At 43.1% G+C, this 27,923-nt stretch overlaps 2 protein-coding genes across 5 annotated transcripts in view, besides 1 other annotated feature; one reads left to right on the top strand and one right to left on the bottom strand.

The window, feature by feature from the left end:
• AVEN (apoptosis and caspase activation inhibitor) overlaps positions 1-27,923 on the top strand; it is a 223,545-nt gene that overhangs the window by 3,278 nt on the left and 192,344 nt on the right. For 2 of the 3 annotated variants that reach the window (XM_047432882.1, XM_011521818.3), the window contains one exon: positions 1,397-1,460. In XM_047432882.1, coding sequence (XP_047288838.1) covers positions 1,397-1,460 — 64 coding nt within the window. Of the gene's footprint in view, positions 1-1,396; positions 1,461-5,345; positions 5,390-5,887; positions 6,077-27,923 lie in introns of those variants that run through there. The other variant, XM_024449999.2, reaches the window with a different exon arrangement.
• Positions 1,674-1,874: a silencer, noted in NCBI's record as "peak2290 fragment used in MPRA reporter construct". NCBI's record gives its function as "represses an SCP1 promoter by STARR-seq MPRAs in K562 erythroleukemia cells {active_cell/tissue: K562}" and the evidence as "EXISTENCE:reporter gene assay evidence [ECO:0000049][PMID:32103011]".
• CHRM5 (cholinergic receptor muscarinic 5) overlaps positions 4,590-27,923 on the bottom strand; it is a 98,962-nt gene continuing 75,628 nt past the window's right edge. Inside the window, exons 2-3 of one of the 2 annotated variants that reach the window (NM_012125.4) lie at positions 25,177-25,508; positions 4,590-9,405 (exon numbers count right to left, since the gene is read on the bottom strand). In NM_012125.4, the coding sequence (NP_036257.1) occupies positions 7,732-9,330 (1,599 nt within the window). In that variant the 5' untranslated portion in view covers positions 9,331-9,405; positions 25,177-25,508 and the 3' untranslated portion in view covers positions 4,590-7,731. The remainder of the gene's footprint in view (positions 9,406-25,176; positions 25,509-27,923) is intronic. The other variant, NM_001320917.2, reaches the window with a different exon arrangement.

The following is a 27,923-nucleotide window of genomic DNA, read 5'->3' as shown; positions in this document are numbered from 1 at the left end:
GTGATCCTCCTGCCTCAGCCTCCCAAAGTGCTGGAATTACAGGCATGAGTCCCTGTGCCTGGCCAGAAAATATGTATTAATATATTAATGACTATATTATTACATATAGTGAATATAAAAGATAACCTAGTCTAGTTTTCTGAGTTAAAGACTTCATTTTGTTTCTGACTCTTATTGATAAGTCCTATCTTTTGGGTATGAAAGGACCTATCAAAGGATTTTTTATTCATGGAAGTCTAGTTTCTTAGGGAGAAAGAGTAGTCCTCCAAATACCAGTTTAAATTTGTATCACTTGTTCTTCTTTACTGTTTTCCAGCCTGGTGTTTTCCACTGCAGTGCACTATATGGTATACTAGGGGCACTGAGCTGTAGTTAGTACATCATGATCAATAGCTTTATGGATTTTGATTGAAAGTGGCTGGACTATAAACCTGTCTTTGGATACACATGGAACTACTAAAAATAAGCACCTGGCTGGACACGGTGCCTCACACCTGGAATCCCAGCACTTTGGGAGGCTGAGGTAGGAGGATCACTTGAGCTCAGGAGTTCGAGACCATCCTGGGCAACATAGAGAGACCACATCTCTACTAAAAATAAAAAAAAATTAGCTTGATATGGTGGCATGCACCTGTAGTCCCAGCTACTTGGGAGGCTGAGGCAGAAGTATCACTTGAGCCTGGGAGATGGAGGCTACCATGCCATTGCACTCCACTCTAGGTGACAGAGCGAGACTCTGTCTCAAAATAAAATTAAAATGAAAAATAAGCAGCAACTCCCTAGCTAGTAATATTGGGGTAAGTGAGTTGAGTATGAGCCATTCTTTGTTGAAGGTAAGGGTGCCCATTCCTTTACTAGGACACCACTAAAGATCCATTCATGCAAGATAACCCTTGTCAGAAAATCATTGCCAAGAACTGGGAAAGTACCCTCTGAAGAACTACTCTTAGCAGGAGCATGAAGGCATCACTGGAGGCATCTGGTGGGTGGGATGAGGTTTGTTCAAGAGCCATATAAAATTAAAAGTTAGGACTTTTTGGACAGACGCATTGACACGAAGCACACTAACACAGGGTGGTAGTCAAGCCCAGTGAGCAGAGTTAGACCTTGGCTTTCTTTGCCTAATCACAGATCACAGAGAAATTTAAGGTTTTAACTCCCGTCCATCCCACCTCATGCACATTAATTCATCAGGGGAGATGGGGGACAGTGAAATTTATTGCAGAATAATACTGGCTGTGCCCTCTTTGAGTTTAATGTGAATATTTAACAGTGTCAGTCTTTTGCCTGTTATTACTTAGTGTCTCCAGAGTTGTTCAACTTGTTCTACTTGGTGTATTCGTAGCTCTCAATATCAGTAGATGCTCCAAGACTTAGACTGTGTCTTCTTTTCTAGGACCCACATCCTTAGCTCAATGGAGAGCTCTAGCACCCTGTATCCAAGTGATCACTTCATAAAGGTACCCATTTATGCATAGCTTTGTAGACTGAGGGCCAGAGGAGTGGCTGTTTGGTAAGTAGTCATCACTATGTAAGAATCAAACCTTTATTTTTCTCGGTAGAAAGTCAGTAGATATTTTCTTAAACTAAAAACATTAAAATAAAACTATATGGATATTTTAAAATATGGATACAAAAATGGCTAAAAGAGTTCGATTTAAAAAAAAAAAAGAAACAAAGAAGGGATAAACCAGAGACTGAAGAAAATTTGTTATCTACAGGACAGGGTGATTTGGCTTTGTGTTCCCATCCAAATCTCATCTTGAATTGTAATCCCATAATCCCCATGTCTTGTGGGACGGACCCAGTGGGAGGTAGTTGAAGCCTGGAGGCGGTTTCCCCCGTGCTGTTCTCGTGATAGTAAGTTCTCACGAGATCTGATGGTTTTATAAGCATCTGGCATTTTCCCTGCTGGCACTCATTTTCTTTCCTGCTGCCCTGTGAAGAGGTGACTTCAGTCATGATTGTAAGTTTCCTGAGGCCTCCCCAGCCATGCAGAACTCTGTGAGTCAATGAAACCTCTTTTCTTTATAAATTACCCAGTCGTGGGTATTTCTTCATAGCAGTGTAAGAACAGACTAATACAGGTGGGAATGGGATGGAAGGTATAAAGGATAGAGTGACACTTCTCTGAGTGTATCTTCTCATATCGTTTTGATGTTCAACCATATTAATATTTTACTTATTCAAGAAAATGAAATTAAATAAACAGTTATGGGAGAAAACTCTGAAATTCAATATAAATAGGAGCAAACCCAACTGATTTCAAATGAACAATATAACCACACTGAATCAAAAAAATTAACAAAAGCAATTATTGAGCATAGTAATCTGAGTATATCCCTTCAATCTGAAGATAAAAAAATTATAAGCAAATCTTGGAACTTTACTTAAAAGGTTAGTGTACTTAAAACATCGATCAATATTAACATCACCAATAATGAGATAGAACATCATATGCCTCCTGATGTGATGCATTGAGAACATAGTAACGCATTGTGATATTCTTGGCCCCCCAAAAACAATTAAATGGAATCTAATAAGGAAATATCAGATAGCCTCAAACTGATGAAATTAGTTTTACTTATTTATTTTTAGAGATGAAGTCTTTCTCTGTTTTCAGGCTGGAGTGCCGTGGCACGATCTCAGCTCACTTCAACCTCCGCCTCCCAGGTTCAAGCAATTCTCCTGCCTCAGCCTCCCAGGTTCAAGCAATTCTCCTGCCTCAGCCTCCCAAGTAGCTGGGATTACAGGCACGCACCACCATGCCTGGCTAATTTTTGTATTTTTAGTAGAGACAGGGTTTCACCATGTTGGTCAGGCTGGTCTCAAACTCCTGACATCGTGATTCAGCCTCCTCAGTCTCCCAAAGTGTTGGGATTACAGGCATGAGCCACCGCGCCCAGCCGAAATTGTTTTTAAAAATTGGACTGTAGGGGCTTGGCGCGGTGGCTCACTCCTGTAATCCCAGCACTTTGGGAGGCCGAGGCGGGTGGATCATGAGGTCAGGAGATCGAGACCATCCTGGCTAACACGGTGAAACCCCGTCTCTACTAAAAATACAAAAAATTAGCCGGGCGTGGTGGCAGGCGCCTGTAGTCCCAGCTACTGGGGAGGCTGAGGCAGGAGAATGGCGTGAACCCGGGAGGCGGACCTTGCAGTGAGCCGAGATTGCGCCACTGCACTCCAGCCTGGGCAAAGGAGCGAGACTCCGTCTCAAAAAAAAAAAAAAAATTGGATTGTAGGTGCTCTTAAAAGATGACTATATCATGAAAGACAGAAAAGCTGTAGACAGATTAAATAAGTCTAACCATGACATGACAACTAAATGCAATGTGTGATCCTGGATTAGATATTGAACTGGAAAATAAATTTTTATAATGAACATATATTAGTTTCCCAAATAGAAAAACTAGTAAAATTTGAGTGTGGACTGTAGATTACATAATAACATTGTAACAATGTCAAATTTCCTGATTTTTATATTTGTATTGAGGTTATGTAAAATAATCTCCTCCTTCTTAAGAAATACACACTCTAAGGTCAGACGCGGTGGTTCCTGCCTGCAATCTCAGCACTTTGCCAGGCCAAATCGGGTGGATTGCCTGAGCCCAGGAGTTCAAGACTAGCTTGAGCACCATGGTGAAACCCTGTCTCTACAAAAAGTAGAAAAAATTAACCTGGCGTGGTGGCGTGCGTCTGTAATCCCAGCTACTTGGGAGGCTGAGGTGGGATCACTTGAGTCTGGGAGGTCGAAGCTGCCACTCCAGCCTGGATGACAGAGTGAGACCCTGTCTTGAAAAAAAAAAAAAATGAATGAAAAAAGGAATACACACTCAAGAAGTATTTAGTGGTAAATTGGCAAGAGGTCTGCAACTTACTCTCAAATGGTTGAGAAAAAAATGTGCACACACACACACACACACATACAGAGAGAGCAGGCACAGATGTGGCAAAACGTTAAGTGCGGAATGTGGGTGAAGGACATTAGGAGTTCTTCTTATTACTCTTGCAACTTTTCTGTAAATTTTAAATGATTTCAAAAAAGTTTTGTTTTGTTTTTAATTGCTTCCAGCTTCTTCTTTGACAATTAAACTTTTTTCCCTTCTTCCGCTCACTCTCGATCTGGGGTCTTTATTGGGCAAGAGTTTACATAATCTTGAACTTTACCAGTAAAATGATGTGGGGAAGATGGAAATTAGTATCACTTACAATGGGAATGGAGTGGGGCACCGACTCTTTAAATAGTTGACAAGGAAATGCTGCTGCCCCTTTTTGTGCAGTCTCCACTCGGTAAAGGACTGTGGTTTCAGGTCTGCCCCACCTCCCTTGTCCCATAGGGAAGGGAAAGCGTTTTACTCACAGATCTCTTGTCATCATTATTTAATCTTAGTTTGGTCATTGGTAACTTAGAGGGAAGGAGGAATCACAAAAGGTAGCAAGAAGGACGTGTATCCATACTGTGTATCAATCCCAACTTTCTTGAAAGGCCAGGCCATGCAAAGGTGTGTGGGAAACCCAATATAGATGGATCTAATAGGCTACTCTGAAACAATTTTCTTATTTAAATGCTCTGCATTGGACCACTGTGCGGTTAAATTTCTTTAATATCTAGAATAGTGCTTATACAATACAGAAAAGCAGCCCAGTCCCCATATCCTTTGCTGTAATTCCAGTATTTACAGTAGACAACTGGAGATTCTAATCCAGAGGTTTGGGTACAGATTTCACAATTACAAAGAGCTGGCATCAGTATTGTCTTCAAAGGACATTCACCAAAGGAGCGAAGCAAAAGCTGAGAATATTGACAAAATGCTTTGTTCAACCAAAAATTGAATGGAAAACAGATTCCCTGACAAGTCATCAAATTCACAGCCAAGGGGAAACAAATTACAATGATAGCAAAGTAACAGCATCCAGTAGGTAACTAGCCAAAGTCATACATGGTTTACTATAGACAAAGCCTGGAAGACTGGGGGCATAGAAGGCCTAAGATCTCAAGTCAGGCCATGCGCCTCCCACCCACCCATCAGGTCCCTGTAGTTTACAATTAGGTCTATTCATTCTGAGGACCCCACTAAAGCCGCTATTCTATAGAAGTCTAGTTGTCCCTAGTAGTTTGGGATATTTTTTGTCTATGTCAAGAGGCATAGGTAGTCTGCAAAACTGGCTGCTTTCCAAAACCAATGATAAAAAAAGAAGCATTGACCTCTCTCTCTCTCTTTTTTTTTTTGAGGCAGGGTCTTGCTCTGTCACTTAGACTGGAATGCAGTAGTGTGATCATAGCTCACTGCAACCTCTAACTCCTGGGCTCATGCGATCCTCCTGCTTCAACCTCTGAAGTAGCTGGGTCTACAGGCACACACTACGATGCCCTGCTAATGCCCAGGTATTTAAAATTTTTTTTGTAGAGACAGGGTCTCCCTATGTTGCCAGGCTGGTCTTGAGCCCCTAGGGTCAAGCAGTCCTCTTGCCTCAGCCTCCCAAAGTGCTGGGATTACAGGTGTCAGCCACCACACCCAGCAATACACTTCTTAATCAATTTCACAAAAGATGAACAAAAAAGGCCAAGTCCTAAGCAAGTGCGGAGTGTGCGAGGAGTGCCCTCCATGGCATCCTTTCCCGATTTGTGTTCTTTTGTTTAAATTAGCTTGTTTCACTCTCAACTGCGAATGGTGAATGCCCAACATGGGCTTAAAAGCCTATTCTCATGAAGGGGTTTTCATCTTTATCAGGAATCAAAGCCTTAAACGAAGACTCAACTGTTTATCTGGCGCTGGTAGAGCAGGTTTGCTCATGAAGTCACACCCAGTTGGCATCACGGAGGCCCGAAAGCCTCTGTGCTGGAGAACTGAGCCAATTACTGTTCCCACCGAATTCTTTGCAGGTGTCAACCTGCCCTTTACAAAGGCTCAGCAGATGCACTGCTTACAAGATGTTTCATGTCAACGTGAAGTCTTTATAAGGGACCAGTCCCGTCCTGCCTGAGATTCTACTACCCTGAAGCCTCCGTGGGACATCCTGTGAGAGGCTGATGATGCTCTTCAGTGGTAGGCTGAAGCTCTCCCATACTCAGGTACATATCTAATTCCCAGGACAACTAAACCAGCTAATTTTCCATCCTCTTAGCAAATGAGACTGAAAAGGACCCGGCCTACACTAAGACGCATGAAGTCTGGTGATTTTTAAGTCCAGCTGCAGATGTAACCAACGAGTTAAATAATGTCTGACAGGAGTGCTTCATCTTTAAAATCCTTGCTGTGTACCACACTACTGCTTCTTTGTGGACTTTTGTCCACAAAGGTCCTTTGATTCCGTTTGTTTATACGCACTTAGAGATTTCAATTAAGTGTGGTTTTTAATAATCCTCATGCTGTCATGCATGTCAACTGTTTTATTTTTATGTATTACTATGACCTACACTTTGTTTTTAAAAATGAAGCTTTCAGATCATTTTCAGCTTCATCGCACCCTCAAGTGTGCTTTTCTGGCCTTCTCATTTGTGACCGAATTTGGAGAGGAATAAAGAAGTCATTTTTAGGCCCTGATTTGAAGGACCTATAAAAAAAGACTTTCTACCCCCACCTCACCCCACAACCCCCTGCTTGGAGGCAGCACAGCTGACCTGCTTGCGTCTTGGTGTGAACTGGGGATCTGAACAAGGGAAATTGGAGGCTGCAAAAGGGCTCTGGAAGAAATTCAAAAGCAAATCTGTTTTCCACATTTTGCTCAGGTTTGCCCTGTGAAGAGATTAGAAAGCAAGATCTCTGAAAACAATATAAGAACCTTAATTCAACAGCCTGGAGAAAATCTTCAGCCAGTGAAGGGCTCTTACACAATTAGTCTTCCTAAGAACAGAGCATAAATAAATGGGTTCAAATGGGCACAAAATAGAATGCACAATATCTGTTTAGATAAAAGAAAAAATTTCCACTGGCAAAAACTAAAATAACTGACTGTGGAGACTTGATCCATCTTTATTAGTAGAAAAGAGGCCCCTTGAAAGGACTGGGTATGACCAGGTTTCAGTCCTTCCAGACTCTGGATTCTGAGAGGAAGGATGGTTCCCTGGAGATCAGCATGGGTTCAGTGAGTACAAGGAATTGACATTGGATATGAAAGGGAAGAGCAAGACCTTCACTCAGATGTGGGGACAGGAAAACAAACCACAGTATAGTATAGACCACATAATAGCTGCATAATAGATAGTGATCAGTTTATGAAGATACATATTCTTAGAAGCCTGTTGAATATCAGTCTCGTTAACAAGTGACACTGTTGTACATTCTCCTGCTGGTTCTCACTGGCACAAGACAGCTTCATAGACACATACATATTGCACAAAATTCTATGACAGGTTTCCACAGGAAAAGGTTTCCACCTGGTCTCTGCTGTTTCCTACAGAAGGGGCATAAGTTCCCTGAGTCACTGTTCATTGTTACCCAGTGTGCTTCCTCTTGTGAAGGGCCATGAGCCTATCCCTTTACTTCATTGGCAAACTCCCCTGGCATCAAATGGCCTTGGTCATAGGCAAGAGTCATTTAATATGTCAGCAATTGCTGCAGCTATGGCCCCTTCCATTTGGCAACCAAACTTGAGCCTTTACAAAAATCTTCAAGGACTCAAAATGAGATGTCTTCTTTTTGAAAATATACAAACCAGAATCAGCTTGCTCATCCTCAGAGGATGTTGACTGTGGTCATTGTTCTTTCGAGAGGAGTTGTTGACTTTTCAGGGTAGCTTGCTGTTCCCCTGCCAGTACAACTTCTCTTCCACTTTTTTCTTTTTCCATCGGCAGAGAAGCAGCATCTTAAAGGTCTTCCTGAAGGTTCTGTTGCAGAGGGCATAGCAGATGGGGTTGACAGTGCTATTGACATAGCACAACCAATAGCCCAAGTGCCACAGGGTGACTGGGACACACTTGTCACAGAAGGTAGAAACCAGGACCATGATGTTATACGGGGTCCATGTGATGATGAAGGCCAGGAGAATGGCACTCAGTGTCTGGGCTGCTTTCCTCTCTTTGACTAGGACCACTCTCTTTCGTTTGGTCATTTGATGGCTGGGGTTGGGATTGAGGCCTTTCGTTGAAGGTTCCTTGGCCACTGGGAAGGGGCAGGGCATGATTTTCACCTTGTGACAGCCATTGTTGGTCTCCTGGTTCCCGTCAGCTTTTACCACCAATCGGAACTTATAGGCCACACATTTCTGACTCTTGGGTCTATGAGCAGCTGCTGGAGACAGAAGGTAGTTTGGGGTGTCATAGTCACTTTTTTCAGTTTCAGCTTTCACAAAAGTTTCCTCAGTCTCTTCAGCACTGAATTCTTCCCCTGGGCTTTCCTTACCCTGACTCTTGTAGACCACTTGGAGGACAGGGTCAGTGGCGGGCTTGTCCTCATCCTCTGAGGAAGGGTAGCTGCTACAGGTGGTGAGCTGCTCAGCTTTGGCCCAATTGGCGCTTGGGCCAGTGGCTTGGGATGGCTTCCCAGTGGTGGAGGTGCTCCTGCGGGAGGATGACCAGGAGGCCTGGTTCCTTTCCCGCTGGGCCAGGGTGGGTCGAGGACAGCGCAAGCAGGATCTGAACAGAGCCCTATGAGCTGGCTTTCTCTTCTCAGCTTTGGTCACAGAGTCAGAACCCTGGAGGTCAGCCAGGTCCTTGGTTCGCTTCTCTGTTTCCCGGTAGATTCGACAGTAGAGGATGGTCATGACAGAAACAGGGATGTAGAAGGCAGCAATGGCAGTGCCAAAAGTGATGGTGGGCTCAGAGAGAAACTGGATCTGGCACTCATCCAGTGGAACTGTCCGCTTCCCAACCAAGTACTGCCAGCAGAGGATTGCTGGGGCCCAGAGGATGAAGGAGATCAGCCAGGCCAAGCCAATCATGATGCCAGCCCTTTTCGGAGTACGCTTGGCCCGATATGTCAAGGGTCTTGTGATGGAAAAGTAACGGTCAAAACTGATCACCAGAAGGTTCATGACAGAAGCGTTGCTGGCCACGTAGTCCAGTGCAAGCCAAAGGTCACAAGCCAGACTCCCGAGAGCCCAGCGTCCCATGAGGATGTAGGTGGTGTAGAGGTTCATGGAGAAGATTCCAATGATGAGATCTGCACAGGCTAAGCTGAGCAGGTAATAGTTGTTAACTGTCTTGAGCTGGCTGTTGACTTTGAAGGAGATCATGACCAAGACATTGCCCACAATGGTGATCAGGCTTACCACAGCAGTCACAGCTGCAATGGTGATGACTTCCCACAACCTGTGGCGTTCCAAAGGCTGGTGATTTACTGGGGTGCCATTGACGGTGGTTGCATTGTGGTAAGAATCCCCTTCCATCCTGGTGCAAAAATTTTACAGTAAATAGTGTTAGGTTCTAGGCTGTTTTCTATTTCAGCTCTTCTTGGCCAGCATCTGGAAGAGAGGGAAACACATTAGCTTCGCACACCAGCATGATTTTCTTGTCCATCCATTGTTTATAGTTTTTTTTTTTTTTTTTTTTGAGACAGAATCTCGCTTTGTCACCCAGGCTGGAGTGCAGTGGTGCGATCTCAGCTCTCTACAAGCTCCGCCTCCCGGGTTCAGGCCATTCTCCTGCCTCAGCCTCCCGAGTAGCTGGGATCACAGGCTCCCACCACCACGCCCAGCTATTTTTTTGTATTTTTAGTAGAGACGGGGTTTCACTGTGTTAGGCGGGATGGTCTCGATCTCCTGACTTCGTGATCCACCCGCCTCGGCCTCCCAAAGTGCTGGGATTACAGGCGTGAGCCACCGCGCCCGGCCCATTGTTTATAGTTTCTAATGGAATATTAAACGTGGCTGCACACATATTCAGAGCAAGATGCTGAAATCTCTAAAGTTTGATCACCTATTTTTAATGGCATCCTTTTGCTTTTTGTTGTTACCTATGGCTGAGTGCCCTTCTTATGCATGAGGCTGCTGCCCTCTTGTGGCAATTTTAAAAAGGGCTGGGAAGACGAGGAGGGTGAAGGGAAAGGAAAAAAAATGGATTGTTGAGAAGCAGTAAAGAGAGGAAAGCAGGGATGTTAAATCACTTTAGATTGCAATGATCATAAGGGCTGAAACCCTATATTTTTAAGATCCTGGTGATAAATACCTAAATCGTCATGCACTGGGGAAAAAGTGGTATCTATTCTATAGTCCCAGTCTTGATTATTAAACATTACTGAGGTGCCGTTGTGAGCCAAGACCATATTATACCACCTCTCCTTGCCCTAATGCACAAACTCCAAGTGCATATCTGGTTTTCATCTAGGGGGTTTTACATTTGCCCCAGCTGCTGAAGATAAGGACCTTCTCTCTGTTCCTGAACTATTTGCAATATCATAGAATTGTTTTAGGTTATCTTTTTTCTGGTTATAGAGTAATACATTCCTTATAAAAGCTCAAACAATGTCAAAATGTAAATCTTAGAAAGCAAAAGTCTCCTCTAATTCCACCTTGCAGAGGTAATCAATGCTAACAGTTTAGTGTATATTTTGGCATTTTCCCATATGCATATACTAATAAATAAATATTTAAATACAATTTCCCCTATGCATATACTAATAATTATTTTAAATGGGTGCCTTTTACCATTTACAATTTGAATTTTGTTTTTTACTTAACAAATGAATTATCACAGACAGCTTTTTATCAGTACATCTAGAGCTACCACTTTCATTGTAATGACTGTACATTATTCCACTTAATGGATGTACTATATTTAATTAACCCTCTGTTGACAAATTTTAACTTTCAAAACTAAAATGAAATTTTCCCTTTGTAGATTAAAAAATCTATGTACATGATAAAGATTTCAGTGTGTACTAAAGGGTAAATTGTAGAAATTAGGTCTCCCTCCCACCTCTGACCTCCAAGCTTGCAAGCTCCCCATTTTCAGAGGTAACCACTGCTACCATTTATTTTTCCTTCTAGAGATATATATGCATACAACATAAATTTGATGATATATAACAAACACCACCTTGACATGATAATGGGCGGTAAAGGGAAAAAAAAAATCTTTTTTTTTTTTTTTGAGACGGAGTCTCGCTCTGTTGCCCAAGCTGGAGTACAGTGGCGCTATCTCGGCTCACTGCAAGCTCCGCCTCCTGGGTTCACGCCATTCTCCTGCCTCAGCCTCCCCAGTAGCTGGGACTACAGGCGCCTGCCACCACGCCCGGCTAACAGAGTCTTGCCCTTGTCACCCAGGCTGAAGTGTAGTGGCACCATCTCGGCTCACTGCAACCTCTGCCCCTTGGGTTCAAGCAATTCTCCTGCCTCAGCCTCCTGAGTAGCTGGGATTACAGCCACCAAGCCTGGCTAATTTTTGTACTTTTTAGTAGAGATGAGGTTTCGCCATGTTGGCCAGACTGGTCTCGAACTCCTGACCCCAGGCGATCCACCCACCTCAGCTTCCCAAAGTTCTGGGATTACAGGCGAAAGCCACCGTGCCCGGTGAAAATCTTTTTGATGACCCTTAAAATACCCCATGTGGGCAATTTTATTTAATGGGGTATTTCTGCTCTGCCTATGGCCAGTCTTGACACTTTTTTGATAACAGTAACTGACAGAAAGGTGACAAATTTGCAAAGGGCTACAGTTTTCTTGGCTTTGCTTTATATTTTCAGCTGTAATTTTGGGTGTTTTCATAACACCTCAAATTCAATATGGAATCGAGTTGATGATATTGTCTTGCACCGGAAACCAGATTCTCCCATCTTCCCAATCTTGCATGCTTCTTCACCTCCCAAACACATGCAGTCTAACTGACCCACGAAGACTCCTCTTTTTGGTCCCTCTCCATTCCTGCTGCTACCAACTGTCAGCTTATACCTATAATACCTCGGTGTTATCAACATTCTTCAAGTTGTTGAAGCAAATTCTAAGGTTGCCAGGTCATTAGGTAGAGATTCCCCAGCATCTGAAAAGACCAGTTACTCTACACTCTACAAATCTCTAGGCAAATGCCATCACAGATTATCTTCCAATGGTCAGATCTAAGCCACACAGTGCAAAAAAGGGCCTGTGGAAATCGCTTTCTCCTTTATTCTTTCTTTTCTTCCTTCCTCTCCTGCCCCTCTTAAATATTTGAATGTTTATTATGGAACAGACTCTAATGCTGGCGATACCATGGAATAGGCTAATGTCTCTGCTCTTTAGACACTAGTTGGGAATGTAAATAAATTAGCAGATAGAAATAGCAGGGGTGCAACATGCCATAGGGGCACCTGTGAAGGACCTCCAGCCTCGTTGAGTGGACATGGGAAGCACTTCCTGAGGAAGAGACCTAAGAGTCGAGACTTGAAGAATGAAGTCACCAATAGCTAGGCAAAAGGTGGGTGGAGGCTGGGGATGCTAGTGCCAGAATGTTTCAGACAGGGAAGGGAAGAGCTTGTTTGTAAGCCCAGAGGCAAAAGAGGAGGAATGGAAAGAAACAAGGTAGCTGGAGCCAAAGAAAGCTGAGAAGTGAAAGGTGAAACTGGAGAGGCTGGCAGGAGAAGGAGGGACAGGAGAGGACCTAAGAGAAAAGTCAGCTTTATGGGAGAGCTGTGTCAGCTATTTCCAGACTCCCCATCTACTCTGAAGGTAGTCCCAACATCCAGGTGTTGGGGAGCATTAGTCCGGAGAGAAGTAGTAAAATGATCTGACCGCTTGCTGAATTTTTTCTAATCAATTCTTCAAAATAGGAATACATGGTGTTTTGGAAGGATTTAATTTTTCCACTTAATTTTATTATCAGGTCATAAGCAATTTATGGAAGTTTCTGGGAATTTGGATGTGCACATACTCCTTTGGACACATGTATAGCCTGGGTACTTCTTTTTCATCTGTTTCCTCATTAGAAAAAATAAGGAGGCCAGGTGTGGTGGCTCACGCCTGTAATCCCAGCACTTTGGGAGGCCGAGGCGGGTGGATAGCCTGAGGTCAGGAATTCGAGACCAGCCTGGCCAACATGATGAAACCCTGTCTCTACTAAAAATGCAAAAGTTAGCTGGGCATGGTGGTGTGTGCCTGTAATCTTAGCTACTTGGGAGGTTGAGGCAGGAGAATTGCTTGAACTCAGGAGGTGGAGGTTGCAGTGAGCCAAGATCTTGCCACTGCATTCCAGCCTGGGCGACAGAGTGAGACTCTGTTTCAAAAGAAGAAAGTTAAGAAAAAAAGGAAATTGGACTATGGGAACTAACATACCTACATTTCTATGACTTTGTATATTATATTGTGTCAAAAAACAAAATTAAAACAATTGTAAAGATCTCAGTTGGCTTTATTTGTGATTCTAGAATCAGGCAATTCTTCATTTTGTGAAATAAATGTTCTGATGAGCTGACCAGAAGAATTTGGCTTTATAGGCAGAGAAGGCCTGAAGAAAGCAGAAGCAAAGAACAAGGGTGTATTAGTTACTTCCAGACAGAACAACAGAAAATAACTGGTTAGTTAACATCAGGTTACTTCAGGCTGTGTGTGTGTGTGTGTGTGTGTGTGTGTGTGTGTGTGTTAGAATTAAAGCAGAGAGAACTTCCTTATTATGCTGATTGAAGATTTATAGTGGCCTGTTTGGGAAATTGGCTCTCTCTCTCTCCTGATTTCTCAGGTCAAATAACAACTTAGTTTAGGTTTGTTGACTTGGAACTTTAGTATGGGTGGCTCCATTTTGATTTTTATTCTGGTTTGTTGGAGCCTAGTTCAAGAGCTTAGTCCAAAACAATGACCTCCTGTAATTTTTTATTTATCAATAGTGTGATGGTTAATTTTATGTGTCCACTTGGTTAGGCTACAGTACCCAGTTGTTTTGTCAAACACCAGTCTAGATATTGCTGCGAAGGTATTTTCAGATATGATTAATACTGAAATCAGTAGAATTTAAGTAAAGAAGATTACCCACCATAATGTGGGTAGGCCTCATTCGATCATTTGAAGGGGTTAAGGGAAGACTGAGGTGCCGAATGAAAAGAGCAAGGAATTCTGTCACCAAACTGCCTTAGAACTCAAGACAGCAACATTGATTCCTGCTGGATTTTCCAGCTTGCCTGCAGATTTCAGATTTGCTAGCCCCTACAATCATGTGACCCAGTCCTTTAAAATAAAAATAAATCTCTCTCTCTCTGATAAATGGAATAAGCTCTTTGCTAAAAGGGAAAAGAAAATAATTTACAGTGGTAACATCACCTCACAATCATATCACAATTTGGCATTGGTCAGCTTCAGATTAAAAACCTAGTTCCATTACTTGCTGTATGACATTAATTAATTTATTAGAAACAAGGTCTTGCTCTATCACTCAGGCTGGAGAACAGTGTCACCATCATAGCTCACTGAAGCTGGAACCCATGGCCTCAAGCGATCCTCCTGCCTCAGCCTCCCACGTAGCTGGGACTACAGGTGTGGGCTACAACATATGGCTCCAACTTACTGTATGACTTTGGACACATTACTTAACCTGAGTCTCAGATTTTAAACTTTGAGGTGGGGATAAAAACAGTCCTTACCTCATAGGATTGTTTTAAGTATTAAATGAGATAACCCATGTTGTATTCAGCCAGTGCCTGACACAAGGGAATGTTCACTACAAAGTAGCAATCCAGCAACAAGAGCATCAAAATGACTATTCTGGCTGGGCACAGTGGCTCATGCCTGTAATCCCAGCACTTTGGGAAGCCGAGGTGGGTGGATCATGCGGTAAAGAGATCAAGACCATCCTGGCTAACATGGTGAAACCCCGTCTCTACTAAAAATACAAAAAAAAAAAATTAGCTGGGCGTGGTGGCATGTGCCTATATTCTCAGCTACTCAGGATGCTGAGGCAGGAGAATCGCTTGAACCTGGGAAGCCGAGGTTGCTGCAGTGAGCCAAGATCATGCGACTGCACTCCAGCCTGGTGACACAGCAAGACTCCACCTAAAAAAAAAAACCAAAAAAAACCAAAACTCTTCTCCTGGTAGGAATGAGCCTGAGGCATGGTTATTAAGGGACAGGGTAAAATAATAAGGCAATATTTTCACGACCACAAACTGGCTCTTTTAGATGCTTTGTGGTGCTAACACTGGATTGCAGTGGTGTGATCATAGTTCACTGCAACCTCAACCTCTTGGGCTCAAGGGATCCCCCCACCTTAACCTCCTGAGTGGCTGGGACTACAGGCATGTGCCACAATCCCTAGCTAATTTTTTTCTGGTTTCATTTTGCTTTGAGATAGGGTCTCGCTATGTTGCTCAGGCTGGCCTTGAACTCCTGGCCTCGAACTCCTGGCCTCAAGTGATCTGCCTGCCTCAACCTTCCAAAGTGCTGGGATTACATCACACCTGGCCCTTCCTCTTTAGTTTTTTTGGTGGGCGCTCTACCTCTAGGAACATAACAAACTGCTCCCAATCATTCAAGCAGAACAACCTTGAGGAGAGCCGAGGCTAACACAGTCTTCCTCAGAGTCTGCTCATAGACTAGGACTACTTCAAATGCATGATTGAAAAGGTTTCATGATCTGATAAATTGAGAAAATACCATGTAGTATGTAGAGCTCTCAAAGATTCAGAAGACACATTAGCCTAGTGAAAGCTGGGAGGTTCTGCAGTAGAGAACATTACTTAATTTGGCTTAACACAGAGGTAGCTTAGCTTATCTAGCCTTTCTCAGAGGAATGTCTGTTAATATCCTGTGGAATCCATGAATCACATTTGGGAAATGCATTTTAGTAAAAAACAATGAACTAGGAGTATGGAGTAGGAGTTCTAATTTCGGCTAAAATCTTGTGATTTGAGACAAGCCATGTATTCTCTCTGGGCCCCAGTTTCTCCATATATGGAATTAAGAGACTGGAATTAATGGTTTATCCTTTAAAATGCTTTCAGGCTCTTCTTATAGGCTCACAGTAGAAAACACTGGAAACTATTAATTTTAGCCCTCAACTTTCTTCTATTCTTAACTAGGGAAACGGCAGTTACTTAGCTGCTTTGGAAGTTAGTGTAGTGAAAACAGCCCTCAGCATATTTTGAGTTCCTGGCTTTCTCATCTGTTAAACACGTATAACAATACCTGCTTAGGCTGGGTGTGGTGGCTCACACATGTAATCCCAGCACTTTGGGAGGCTGAGGTAGGCAGATCACCTGAGGTCACCAGGATTTTGTAATCAGTGTGTCTCAAAATTTAATATGCATATGAATTACCTGGATAATCTTGTTAAATTGTAGAAGGGTGGGACTTGCATTTCCACATTTTATTTATTTGTTTATTTTTATTTATTTATTTATTTATTTTTTGTGACAGAGTCTTGCTCCGTCGCCCAGGCTGGAGTGCAGTGGTGTGATCTCGGCTCACTGCAAGCTCCACCTCCCGGGTTCACACCATTCTCCTGCCTCAGCCTCCTGAGTAGCTGGGGCTACAGGCACCCGCCACCATGCCTGGCTAATTTTTTGTATTTTTAGTAGAGACAGGGTTTCACCATGTTAGCCAGGATGGTCTTGATCTCCTGACCTCATGATCCGCCCACCTCAGCCTCCCAAAGTGCTGGGATTACAGGCATGAGCCACTGTGCCCAGCCTATATTTATTTTTTTGAGAGAGTGTTTCACTCTGTTGCCCAGGCTGGAATGCAGTGGCGTGATCACAGCTCACTGTAACCTCTTCCTCCCGGATCCAGGAGATTCTCCTGCCTCAGCCTCCTGAGTAGCTGGGACTACAGGTGCACACCACCACACACAGATAATTATAATTTTTTGTATTTTTAGTAGAGATGGGGTTTAATCATGTTGGCCAGGCTGGTCTCAAACTCCTGGCCTCAAGAGATCCACCCACCTCGGCCTCCCAAATGCTGGGATTACAGGTGCGAGCTACCGGGCCTGGCCTTGTTTATTTACTTTTTTTTTTTTGAGACGGAGTTTCACTCTTTCTGCCCAGGCTGGAGTGCAATGGTGTGATCTCGGCTCACCGCAATCGCCGCCTCCCGGGTTCAAGTGATTCTCCTGCCTCAGCCTCCTGAGTAGCTGGGATTACAGGCATGTGCCACCATGCCCAGCTAATTTTGTATTTTTAGTAGAGATGGGGTTTCTCCATGTTGGTCAGGCTGGTCTCGAACTCCTGACTTCAGGTGATCTGCCTGCCTTGGCCTCCCAAAGTGCTGGGATTACAGGTGTGAGCCACCGCACCCAGCTTATTTACTTTTAAGATGTTTTAAAATTGTTTTCAAGCAACCATTTGTTCCTTTTTTTCCCAACATTTATCTTAAGTTCAGGGATACATGTGCAGGAGGTGCAGGTTTGTTACATAGGTAAACGTGTGCCAGGGTGGTTTGCTGCACACATCATCCCATTACCTAGGTATTAAGCCCAACATCTATTACCTATTCTTCTTGATGTTCTCCCTCCTCCTACCCTCACCCCCACAGGCTCCAGTGTGTGTTGTTTCCCTGGATGTGCCCTTGTGTTCTCTCATCATTCAGCTCTTACTTATAAGTGAGAACATGCGGTGTTTAGTTTTCGTTTTCTGTTCCTGTGTTAGTCTGCTCAGGGTAATAGCTTCCAACTCCATCTATGTCCCTGCAAAGGACATAATCTTGTTCCTTTTTATGGCTGCATAGTATTCCATGGTGTATCTGTACCACATTTTTTATCCAGTCTATTGTTGATGGGCATTTAGATTGATTCTATGTCTTTGCTATTGTGGATAGTGCTGCAGTGAACATACACATGCATGTATCTTTATGATAGAATGATTTATAGTCCCTTGGGTATATACTCAGTAATGAGATTACTAGGTCAAATGGTATGTCTGCCTCTAGGACTTTGAGGAATTGCCACACAGTATTCCACAATGGTTGAACTAATTTACACTCCCACCAGCAGTGTAGAAGTGTTCCTTTTTCTCCACAGCCTTGCCAGCATCTGTTGTTTTCTCGAGTTTTAATAATAGTCATTCTCACTGGCATGAGATGGGATCTCATTGTGTTTTTGATTTGCATTTCTCTAATGATCAGTGATGTTGAGTTTTTTTTTCACGTTTTTTGGCCGCATGTATGTCTTCTTTTGAGAAGTGTTTGTTCATACAGGTTCTTTGCCCACTTTTTGATGGGGTTGTTTTTTTCTCATAAATTTGTTTATGTTCCTTGTAGATTCTGGATATTAGCCCTTTGTCAGATGGATAGATTGCAAAATTTTTCTCCCATTCTGTAAGTTGTCTATTCACTCTGATGATAGTTTCTTTTGCTGTGCAGAGGCTCTTTAGTTTAATTAGATCCTATTTGTCAATTTTTGCTTTGTTGCAATTGCTTTTAATGCTTTCATCATGAAATCTTTGCCTTTGCCTATGTCCTGAACGGTATTGCCTAGCTTTTCTTCTAGAGTTTTTATAGTTTTGGGTTTTACATTTAAATCTTTAATTCATCTTGAGTTAATTTTTGTATAAGGTATAAGGAAGGAGTCCAGTTTCAATTTTCTGCATATAGCTAGCCAGTTCTCTCAGCACCATTTATGAAATAGGGAATCCTTTCCCCACTGCTTGTTTTTGTTAGGTTTGTCAAAGATCAGATGTTTGTAGATGTGTAGTTTTATTTCTGAATTCTCTATTCTGTTCCATTGGCCTACGTGTCTATTTTTGTACCATTACCATGCTGTTTTGATTACTGTAGCCTTGTAGTACAGTTTGGAAGTAGGTAGCACGACACCTCCAGCTTTGTTCTTTTTCCTTCGGATTATCTTGGCTATATGGGTTCTTTTCAGTTCCATATATATATATATATATATATATTTTTTTTTTTTTTTTTTTTTGAGATGGAGTCTCACTCTGTCACCCAGGCTGGAGTGCAGTGGCATGATCTTGGCTCACTGCAACCTCTGCCTCCTGGGTTCAAGCAATTCTCCTGCCTCAGCCTCCTGAGTAGCTGGGACTGTAGGCACCCACCACCATGTCTGGATAATTTTTGTAATTTTAGTAGAGATGGGGTTTCACCATATTGGCTAGGCTCGTCTCAAATTCCTGATCTCAAGTGATCTGCCTGCCTTGGCCTCCCAAAGTGCTGGGATTACAGGTTTGAGCCACTGCACCTGGCCTGGTTCCATATGAATTTTTAAGTAGTTTTTTTCTAATTTTGTGAAGAATATCAATGGTAGTTTCATGAGATTAGCATTGAATCTATAAACTACTTTGGGCAGTATGACTATTTTCATGATATTCATTCTTCCTATCCATGAGCATGGGATGTTTTTCCATTTGTTTGTGTCCTCTCTGATTTCATTGAGCATTGGTTTGCAGTTCTCCTTGAAGAGGTCCTTCACTTCCCTTGTTAGCTGTATTCCTAGGTATTTTATTCTCTTTGTAGCAATTGTGAATGGGAATTCATTCACGATTTGGCTCTGTGCTTTCCTGTTGTTGATGTATAGGAATGCTAGCAATTTTTGCACATTGATTTTGCATCCTGAGACTGCTGAAATTGCTTATCAGCTTAAGAAGCTTTTAGGCTGAAATGATGGAGCTTTCTGGACATAGAATTATATTATCTGCAAACAAAGATAATTTGACATCCTGTCTTCCTATTTGAATATGCTTCATTTCTTTCTCTTGCCTGATTGCCCTGGCCAGAACTTTGAATACTATGTTGAATAGGAGTGGTAAGACAGAGTACCCTTGTCTTGTGCTGGTTTTCATGGGGAATGCTTCCAGCTTTTGTCCATTTGGTATGACATTGGCTGTGAGTCTGTCACAGGTGGCTTTTATTATTTTGTGGTATGTTTTTTAAATACCTAGCTTATTCAGAGTTTTTAATATGAAGGGATTTAAATTTTTTCAAAGCCTTTTCTGCATCTATGGAGATAATCATGTGGTTTTTTTTCTTTAGTTCTGTTTATGTGATGAAGTGCATTTATTGATTTGCATATGTTGAACCAACCTTGCATCCCAGGGATGAAGCCAACTTGATTGTGGTGGATAAACTTTTTGATGTGCTGCTGGATTTCATTTGCCAGTATTTCATTGAGGATTTTTGCATCAGTGTTCATCAAAGATGTTGGCCTGAAGTTTTCTTTTTTTTGTTGTATCTCTGCCAGGCTTTGGTATCAGGATGATGCTGGCTTCATAGAATGAGTCAGGGAGGAGTCCCTCCTTTTCAATTTTTTCAGATAGTTTCAGTAGGAGTGGTACCAGCTCTTTGTACCTGTGGTAGAATTCTGCTGTAAATCTGTCTGGTCCTGGGTTTTTTTTTTCTTTTTTTGGTTGGTAGGCTATTTATTAGTGCCTCAATTTCAGAACTCATTATTGGTCTATTAAGGGATTCAGTTTCTTCTTGGTTCAGTCTTGGGAGGGTGTATGTGTTCAGGATTTATCCATTTCTTCTAGATTTTCTAGTTTACGTGCATAGAAGTGTTTATAGTATTCTCTGATGATTGTTTGGATTTCTGTGGGGTCAATGGTGATTTCTCCCTTATCATTTATGATTGTGTTTATTTGATTCTTCTCTCTTTTCTTCTTTATTAGTCTAATTAGTGGTTTATCTATTTTACCTATTTTCAAAAAACCAGCTCCTAGATTTGTTGATTTTTGAAAGTGTTTTTCTTGTCTCTATCTCCTTCAGTTCAACTCTGATCTTAGTTATTTCTTGTCATCTTCTAGCTTTGGAATTTGTTTGCTCTTGATTCTCTAGTTCTTTTTGTTGTGATGTTAGGTTTTTAACTTGAGATCTTTCTAGCTTTTTGATATAAGCATTTAGTGCTATAAATTTCCCTCTTAACACTGCTTTAGCTGCATCCCAGAAATTTTGGTACTTTGTCCTTTGTTTCAGTTTCAAAGAACTTCTTGATTTCTGTCTTAATTTCATTATTTGCCCAGGAGTCATTCAGGAGTAGGTTGTTCAGTTTCCATGTAGTTGTGTGGTTGTGAGTGAATTTCTTAATCTTGAGTTCTAATTTGATTGCGCTGTGGTCTGACAGACTATTATTATTTCAGTTCTTTTGTATTTGCTGAGGAGTGTTTTACTTCTGATTATGTAATCAGTTTTAGAGTAAGTTCTGTGGGTGATGAGAAGAATGTTTATTCTGTTGTTTTGGGGTGGAGAGTTCTATAAATATCTATCAGGTCCACTTGATTCAGAACTGAGTTCAGGTCCTGAATATCATTGTTAATTTTCTCTCTCAGTGATCTGTCTAATATAGTCGGTGGGGTGTTAAAGTCTCCCACTATTATTGTTTGGGAGTCTAAGTCTCTTTGTAGGTCTCTAAGAACTTGTTTTATGAATCTGGGTGCTCCTGTATTGGGTGCATATACATTTAGGATAGTTAGCTCTTCTTGTTGAATTGAACCCTTTACCATTATGTAATGCCCTTCTTTCTCTTTTTTGATCTTATTGGTTTAAAGTCTGTTTTGTCAGAAACTAGGATGGCAACCCCTACTTTTTTCTGTTTTCCATTTGTTTGGTAAATTTTTCTCCATTCCTTTATTTTGAGCCTATGTGTGTCTTCACACATGAGATGAGTCTCTTGAAGACAGCATACTGATGGGTCTTGGCACTTTATCCAGCTTGTCATTCTGTGTCTTTTAATTGGGGCATTTAGCCTATTTACGTTTAAGGTTAGTATGGTTATGTGTGAATTTGATCCTGTCATCATGATGCTAGCTGGTTATTTTGCAGACATTTTTATGTGGTTGCTTCATAATGTCACTGGTCTGTGTACTTCAGTGTGTTTTTGTAGTGTCCGGTAACGGGTTTTCTTTCCATATTTAGTGCTTAATATGGAAGCTTCAGGAGCTCTTGCAAGGCAGGCCCAATGGTGACAAATTCCCTCAGCATTTGCTTGTCTGCAAAGGATCTTATTTCTCCTTTACTTATAAAGCTTAGTTGGGCTGGATCTGAAATTCTGGTCTGGACATTCTTTTCTTTTAGAATGTTGAGGCCAGGCATGGGGGCTCACGCCTGTAATCCCAGCACTTTGGGAGGCCGAGGTGGGTGGATCACCTGAGGTCAGGAGTTCAAGACCAGCCTGACCAACAAGGTGAAACCCCATCTCTACTAAAAATACAAAAATTAGCCAGGCATGGTGGCAGGTGCCTGTAGTCCCAGCTACTCGGGAGGCTGAGATGAGAGAATGGCTTGAATCCAGGAGGCAGAGGTTGCAGTGAGCTGAGATTGTGCCACTGCACTCCAGCCTAGGTGATGGAGTGAGATCCTGTCTCAAAAAAAAAAAAAAAAAGTTGATGTTGATTATTGGCCCCAGTCTCTTCTGGCTTGTAGGATTTCCACCAAGAGGCCTGCTGTTAGTCTCATGGGCTTCCTTTTGTAGGTGAACTGGCCCTTCTCTCTGGCTGCCCTTAATATTTTTTCTTTCATTTCAACGTTGGAGAATCTGATGATTGTGTGTCTTGGGGTTGATCTTCTTGTGGAGTATCTTACTGGGGTTCTCTGCATTTTTTCAATTTGAACGTTGGCCTGACTTGCTAGGTTGGGGAAATTCTCCTGACTGATATCCTGAAGTATGTTTTCCAACTCGGTTCCATTCTCCCTGTCTCTTTCAGGTACCCCAATCAGTCATGGGTTTTGCTTTACATAATCCCATGATCCTTTTCATTCTTTTTTTCTCCATTCTTGTATGCCTGTCTTATTTCAGAAAAATAGTCTTCAAACTCTGCGATTCTTTTTTCCACTGGTCTATTCTGCTCTTGATACTTGTGATTGCATTGTAAAGTTCTCATAGTGTGTTTTTCAGCACCATTAGGTCTGTTATGTTCCTCTCTAAACTGGCTACTCTGGCTGTCAGCTCCTGCATTGTTTTCTCATGATTCATAGCTCCCTTGCATTGGGTTACAACATGGTCCTTTAGCTCAGTGAAGTTTGTTATTACCCACTTTCAGAAGCCTAGTTCTGTCAATTCAGCCATCTCAGCTTCAGCCCAGTTCTGTGCCTTTGCTGGAGAGGTGTGCAGTCATTTGGAGGCAGAGACGCACTCTGTCTTTTTGAGTTTTCAGCATTTTTGTGTTGAATCTGTCTCATCTTTGTGGGCTTATCTACCTTTGAGCTTTGAGGTTGCTGACCTTGAAATAGGTTTTTGTGGGGTCTTTTCTGTTGATGTTGTTGTTTTCTGTTTGTTTGTTTTTCTTTTAACAGTCAGACAACTCTTCCACAGGGCTGCTGCAGTTTGCCGTGGGTCCACTCCAGACCCTAGTCACCTCGGTTGTTCTCATACCTGGTGGTATGCTGCAAAACATACCACCAGGTATGCAAAACAGCAAAGGTGGCAGACTGCTCCTTCCTTTGGAGGCTCCATCCCAGGAGGATACTGACCTGTTGCTGGCCCAGACACACCTAGGCCACAGACTCCTTTTGGGAGGTGTCAGTCAGGAGGAATGGGATCAGGGACCCACTTAAAGAAGCAGTCTGGCTGCTTTTTGGTAGAGCAGGTGTGCTGCATTGTGGGGGCACTGTTCCTTGTCCAGACTGTTTGGACTCTCCAAAGCCAGCAGGCTGGAATGGCTGAGTCAACCAAACTGTAGAGATGGCGGCTGCCCCTCCTCCTGGGAGCTCCATCCCAGGGAGAAATCAGAGCTCTGTCTGTATAACCCTGGCTAGAGTGGCTGAAACCCCCACATGGAGGTCCTGCCCAGTGAGGAGGAATGGATCCAGGTCCCACTTAAAGAAGCAGCCTGGCCATGATCTGGCAAAGCAGCTGTGCTCGTTGTGGGGGACCCTTCCTTGTCAGGACCATTTGGACTCTCCAAAGCCAGCAGGCTGGAACAGCTGAGTCAACCAAACCACACAGATGGCGGCTGCCCCTCCCTCTGGGAGCTCCATCCCAGGGAAAGATCAGAGCTCTATCCATATAACCCTGGCTGGAGTGGTTGAAGCTCCCACAGGGAGATCCCACCCAGTGAGGAGGAATGGATCCGGGTCCTGCTTAAAGAAGCAGTCTGGCCGGGTGTGGTGGCTTACGCCTGTAATCCCAGCACTTTGGAAAGCCGAGGCAAGTGGATTGCTTGAGTTCAGGAGTTTCAGACCAGCCTGGGCAACAGGGTGAAACTCCCATATCTACCAAACACACACACACACAAACACACACACACACGAGCTGGACGTGGTGATGTGTGCCTGTAGTCCCAGCTACTCCACTCACTTGGTCCTATTGTTTGACCCCATCCCTTCTCCCGTGCACCCTTTGATTTCTTATTTCTGGGATCTGGTGTGGAGAGCCCCTCATCCTGGGAAACAGGGTGCGGGAGGCTGAGGTGGGAGGATTACTTGAGCTCAGGAGGCAGAGGTTGCAGTAAGCCGAGATTGCGCCATTGCACTCCAGCCTGGGTGACAAAGTGAGACTATCTCCAAAAACAAAACAAAACAAAGACAAAACAAGCAGTCTGGCCACCAACTGACAAAGCAGCTGTGCTTGCGTTGGGAGGGACCTTTCCTTGTCTGGACTGTTTCGATTCTCCAAAGCCGCAAGCTAGAATGGCTGAGTCAACTGAACCACAGAGGTAACAGTCATCCTCCCGCTGGGAGCTCAATTCTCTCTCAGGCAGACTCTGGCTTTTACTGTTGGCTGGCTGGAATTCCAAGTCAGTGGGTCTTATCTTGTGAGGTGCCAGGGAAGTGGGGCCTGCAGAAAGATGCTGCTTGGCTCCCTGGTTTCAGCCCTCTTCCTAGGGGTATGTGCAGATGGACCTCCCGCCTTGCCAGGGATCCCAGCGTTGGAGTATGTAAAACTGCTAGGTCTCCGCCGGGCACGGTGGCTCACGCCTGTAATCCCAGCACTTTGGGAGGCTGACACGGGCGGATCATCAGGTCAGGAGATCCAGACCATTCTGGCTAACACGGTGAAACCCCGTCTCTACTAAAAATACAAAAAGTTAGCAGGGCATGGTGGCGGGCGCCTGTAGTCCCAGCTACTCGGGAGGCTGAGGCAGGAGAATGGCGTGAACCCGGGAGGCGGAGCTTGCAGTGAGCCGAGATCGTGTCACTGCACTCCAGCCTGGGCGACAGAACGAGACTCCGTCTCCAAAAAAAGAAAAAAAAAAAAACCAACAAAAAAACCAAAACAAAAAAGCCCTGCTAGGTCTCTGTTTGTGCCTGAGCGGCTGCTCTGCTGAAACTCCGCACAGCTCTGTGTGTTGGACCTAAGGCTCTGCTGGCATGGGCTCACAAGGAGATCTCCTTTTCCATGGGTTGCAAAGACCTGTGGGAGAAATGTGGTTTCCCCGGTGGGGTCGCACAATCACTCACCGCTTCCCTTGGCTGGAGGTGGGGGTTCCTTTGGCTCTGTGCTGCTCCCAGGTGGGCCGTCACCCCACCCTGCTTTTCTTTGTTTTCTGTGGGTCAAGTTGTTTGCCCAATTAGTCCCAAAGCGAGAACCTGGATATTTCAGTTGAAGGCGCTGTATTCACTCACACCTTTCATTCCTTTGCATGAGAGCTGCGGGCTGCCGCTGCTTCTAATCCGCCATCTTGGCCATATTTCACAATTGCACATTTCTGAAAAGCTCCTGAGTATTCTTGATGCTACTGATCCATGTACCATATTTTAAGTTGCAAGGCTGAGAATGATTTCCTAGGTTCCTAGAAAAGGGGAATGATCGTTCACAAAGGGGCTGTTAAATTGGAATTTTCCAACTGCAATGTGCAGTAACATTTGAATCCCCCTCTGCCTTCCAAAATCACTTGAGTTAAAAAAATTTTTTTCTCCTGTTCGAAATTAATATAATTAGCCTTTAGAGATTTTCTGCCTTCTCTTTTTCCCGTTTTTTTTTTTTTTCCTGCCTCACTTTTTGGGAGAATAACTTTTCCTGATTCCTAGGCTGCTGGACAGATCTTTCCACAAAAAGATTTGGAACATAAGGTAGGTTCCACGGCTGATGGATTGATTTATTTTTTTGGATGATAGTTGAGTATGAAAACTGAGTTTCCAGCCTGAATGTTTTCCACAATAAACTTCTTAAATCATTGATTATGTTTTTGAAAGGGTAACTTATTTTTGAGGAAAGTTGCAGAGGCAAATGAAATATAAGTGGTTATCTGGGAGTGTGGATCCTTTTGAGCTCTTCCCTGATTACTCAAACTTTAACAGTTCCCATTTTTCATCCCACCATCTAGAGTATGTTTATTTTTAGGATACCAGCATTAAGAGAGAGCAGTAATCATCTCAGGTTTATTTTCTACCACTACATAAGACAAAGACTCCCACAGTAATAAAAGCCTCTGGGTTTCCAACCTTGGCCGATTGTTTCTTGTTCTCTGCTGTCAATACATTACAAATGAAGCAAAGCAACATAAAAATCAAAGAAGGTAACCCTGTGTACCAAATGAATTCCTTTTCTTGTCGAGTGGACTTGCCAACTTTTGAGGCTTTTCCTAAGTGAGGTTAGGCCTTCGTTTTCTGAAACACCTTTTTTTTTTTATGAGAAGCTTTATGCCTGAACCTGTCCTTGTTACTCTTCATTGTTTCTATAGCAACTACAGTGGAAAACTTTAATGGCATCTACAACCCAGTGATATTGGGACATCATGATAACCAGCTCATATTGTTATGTAGAATATTGATGAGTGACTCCCTCCTTCCTTTTCAAGGACAAATCAAGACAAAGTAGGCTTAAAGCACATGGGGTACCACTGTGTTAGATATGAGGAAGGACTTGCAGTGAAAGAGCGTGTGAATGAATAAGGGAGGTTCTGGACTTGCATTTTTTTGGTGAATATTTTAAAGTAAGATATATCTAACTCCTTTTGACTGGTAGAATCAAATTGCTGACTGAAGATAAGGTGGTGATTAAGAAATGACCTCTTAATACCTCTGAAGCAATAATATCCAGAGCAGGATTTCAATGTGACATGTTCTTTAGAACATACTTTGTGTTCACTAGTGTGCCAGCTGCTGTGGGGCATATAAAAGAGATATACGATAGTCCTTGAACTGAAAGAGTTCATCTTTATAGCTCTAAGAAAAAGAGAATGTAAGAATAAAGTTGAGTTTTTAGACCAAATTCAGGTGACAGAGAGGTCTGTTACTGAGGTCATTAAATTACTTTATTTTTTATTATTATTACTAATTTTTGAGACAGAGTCTCGCTCTGTCGCCCAGGCTGGAGTGCAGTGGCACGATCTCGGCTCACTGCAAGCTCCGCCTCCCAGGTTCATGCCATTCTCCTGCCTCAGCCTCCTGAGTAGCTGGGACTACAGGCACCCACCACCATGCCCAGCTAATTTTTTGTATTTTTAAGAGACGGGGTTTCACCCTATTAGCTAGGATGGTCTCCATCTCCTGACCTCATGATCCTCCCGCCTCGGCCTCCCAAAGTGCTGGGATTACAGGCATGAGCCACCGCGCCCAGCCAAATTACTGTATTGCTATAGGACAGGAAAATAGGTGAAACTGCTTCACATGAAGGCATAAACTGGACCCATTTAACGCATACACTGTCGACTCCTGCCACAGGCTATGGGGTTGGCTAGGTGGGTCCCCTTCTGTTGGGAGCAGTATTGTCTTGTTATTCCAGAGTACTGGGAAAATATTACCATTTTCTATGTGTGCCAAGACATGAAGAAGTCTGGGAAGTACTGTCATAAACAAAGTTATGTGAGAATCTGGAGGTACAGAAGCCCTTGACTGTTGCCCAAGTCTTCCCCACAAACCTAGGGCAAGGATTATATATATCTTTAAATTCCTAAGGGTAGTGTATTGTTCTGGAAACAACAACAATAAAATGTTTCAAGGAGGAAGGAGTAATCAACTGTATCAAATGAGACTGATAAACCAAGTAAGATTAGGCCAGTGACCTGACCATTGGATTTAGTTACATGGAGATCACAGTGAAACTTGCTAAGTTGTTTTGGTGAAGTGGTGGGCACAAAAGGCTTGAGGAGTGGATAAAATAGCGAATGGGAGAAGGAGAATTGGAGACAGTGCTATAGATGACTCTTCTGAGGAACTTTGCTATAAAAAGGAGTAGAGAAATGATGCAGAAGTTGGATTAGGGT

The sequence above is a fragment of the Homo sapiens genome, chromosome 15, assembly GCF_000001405.40.
Source record: "Homo sapiens chromosome 15, GRCh38.p14 Primary Assembly".
Classification (NCBI taxonomy): Eukaryota; Metazoa; Chordata; class Mammalia; order Primates; family Hominidae; genus Homo; species Homo sapiens.
Note: the sequence above shows the minus strand (reverse complement) of the source record. Positions and strands in the feature narration are given on the sequence as shown.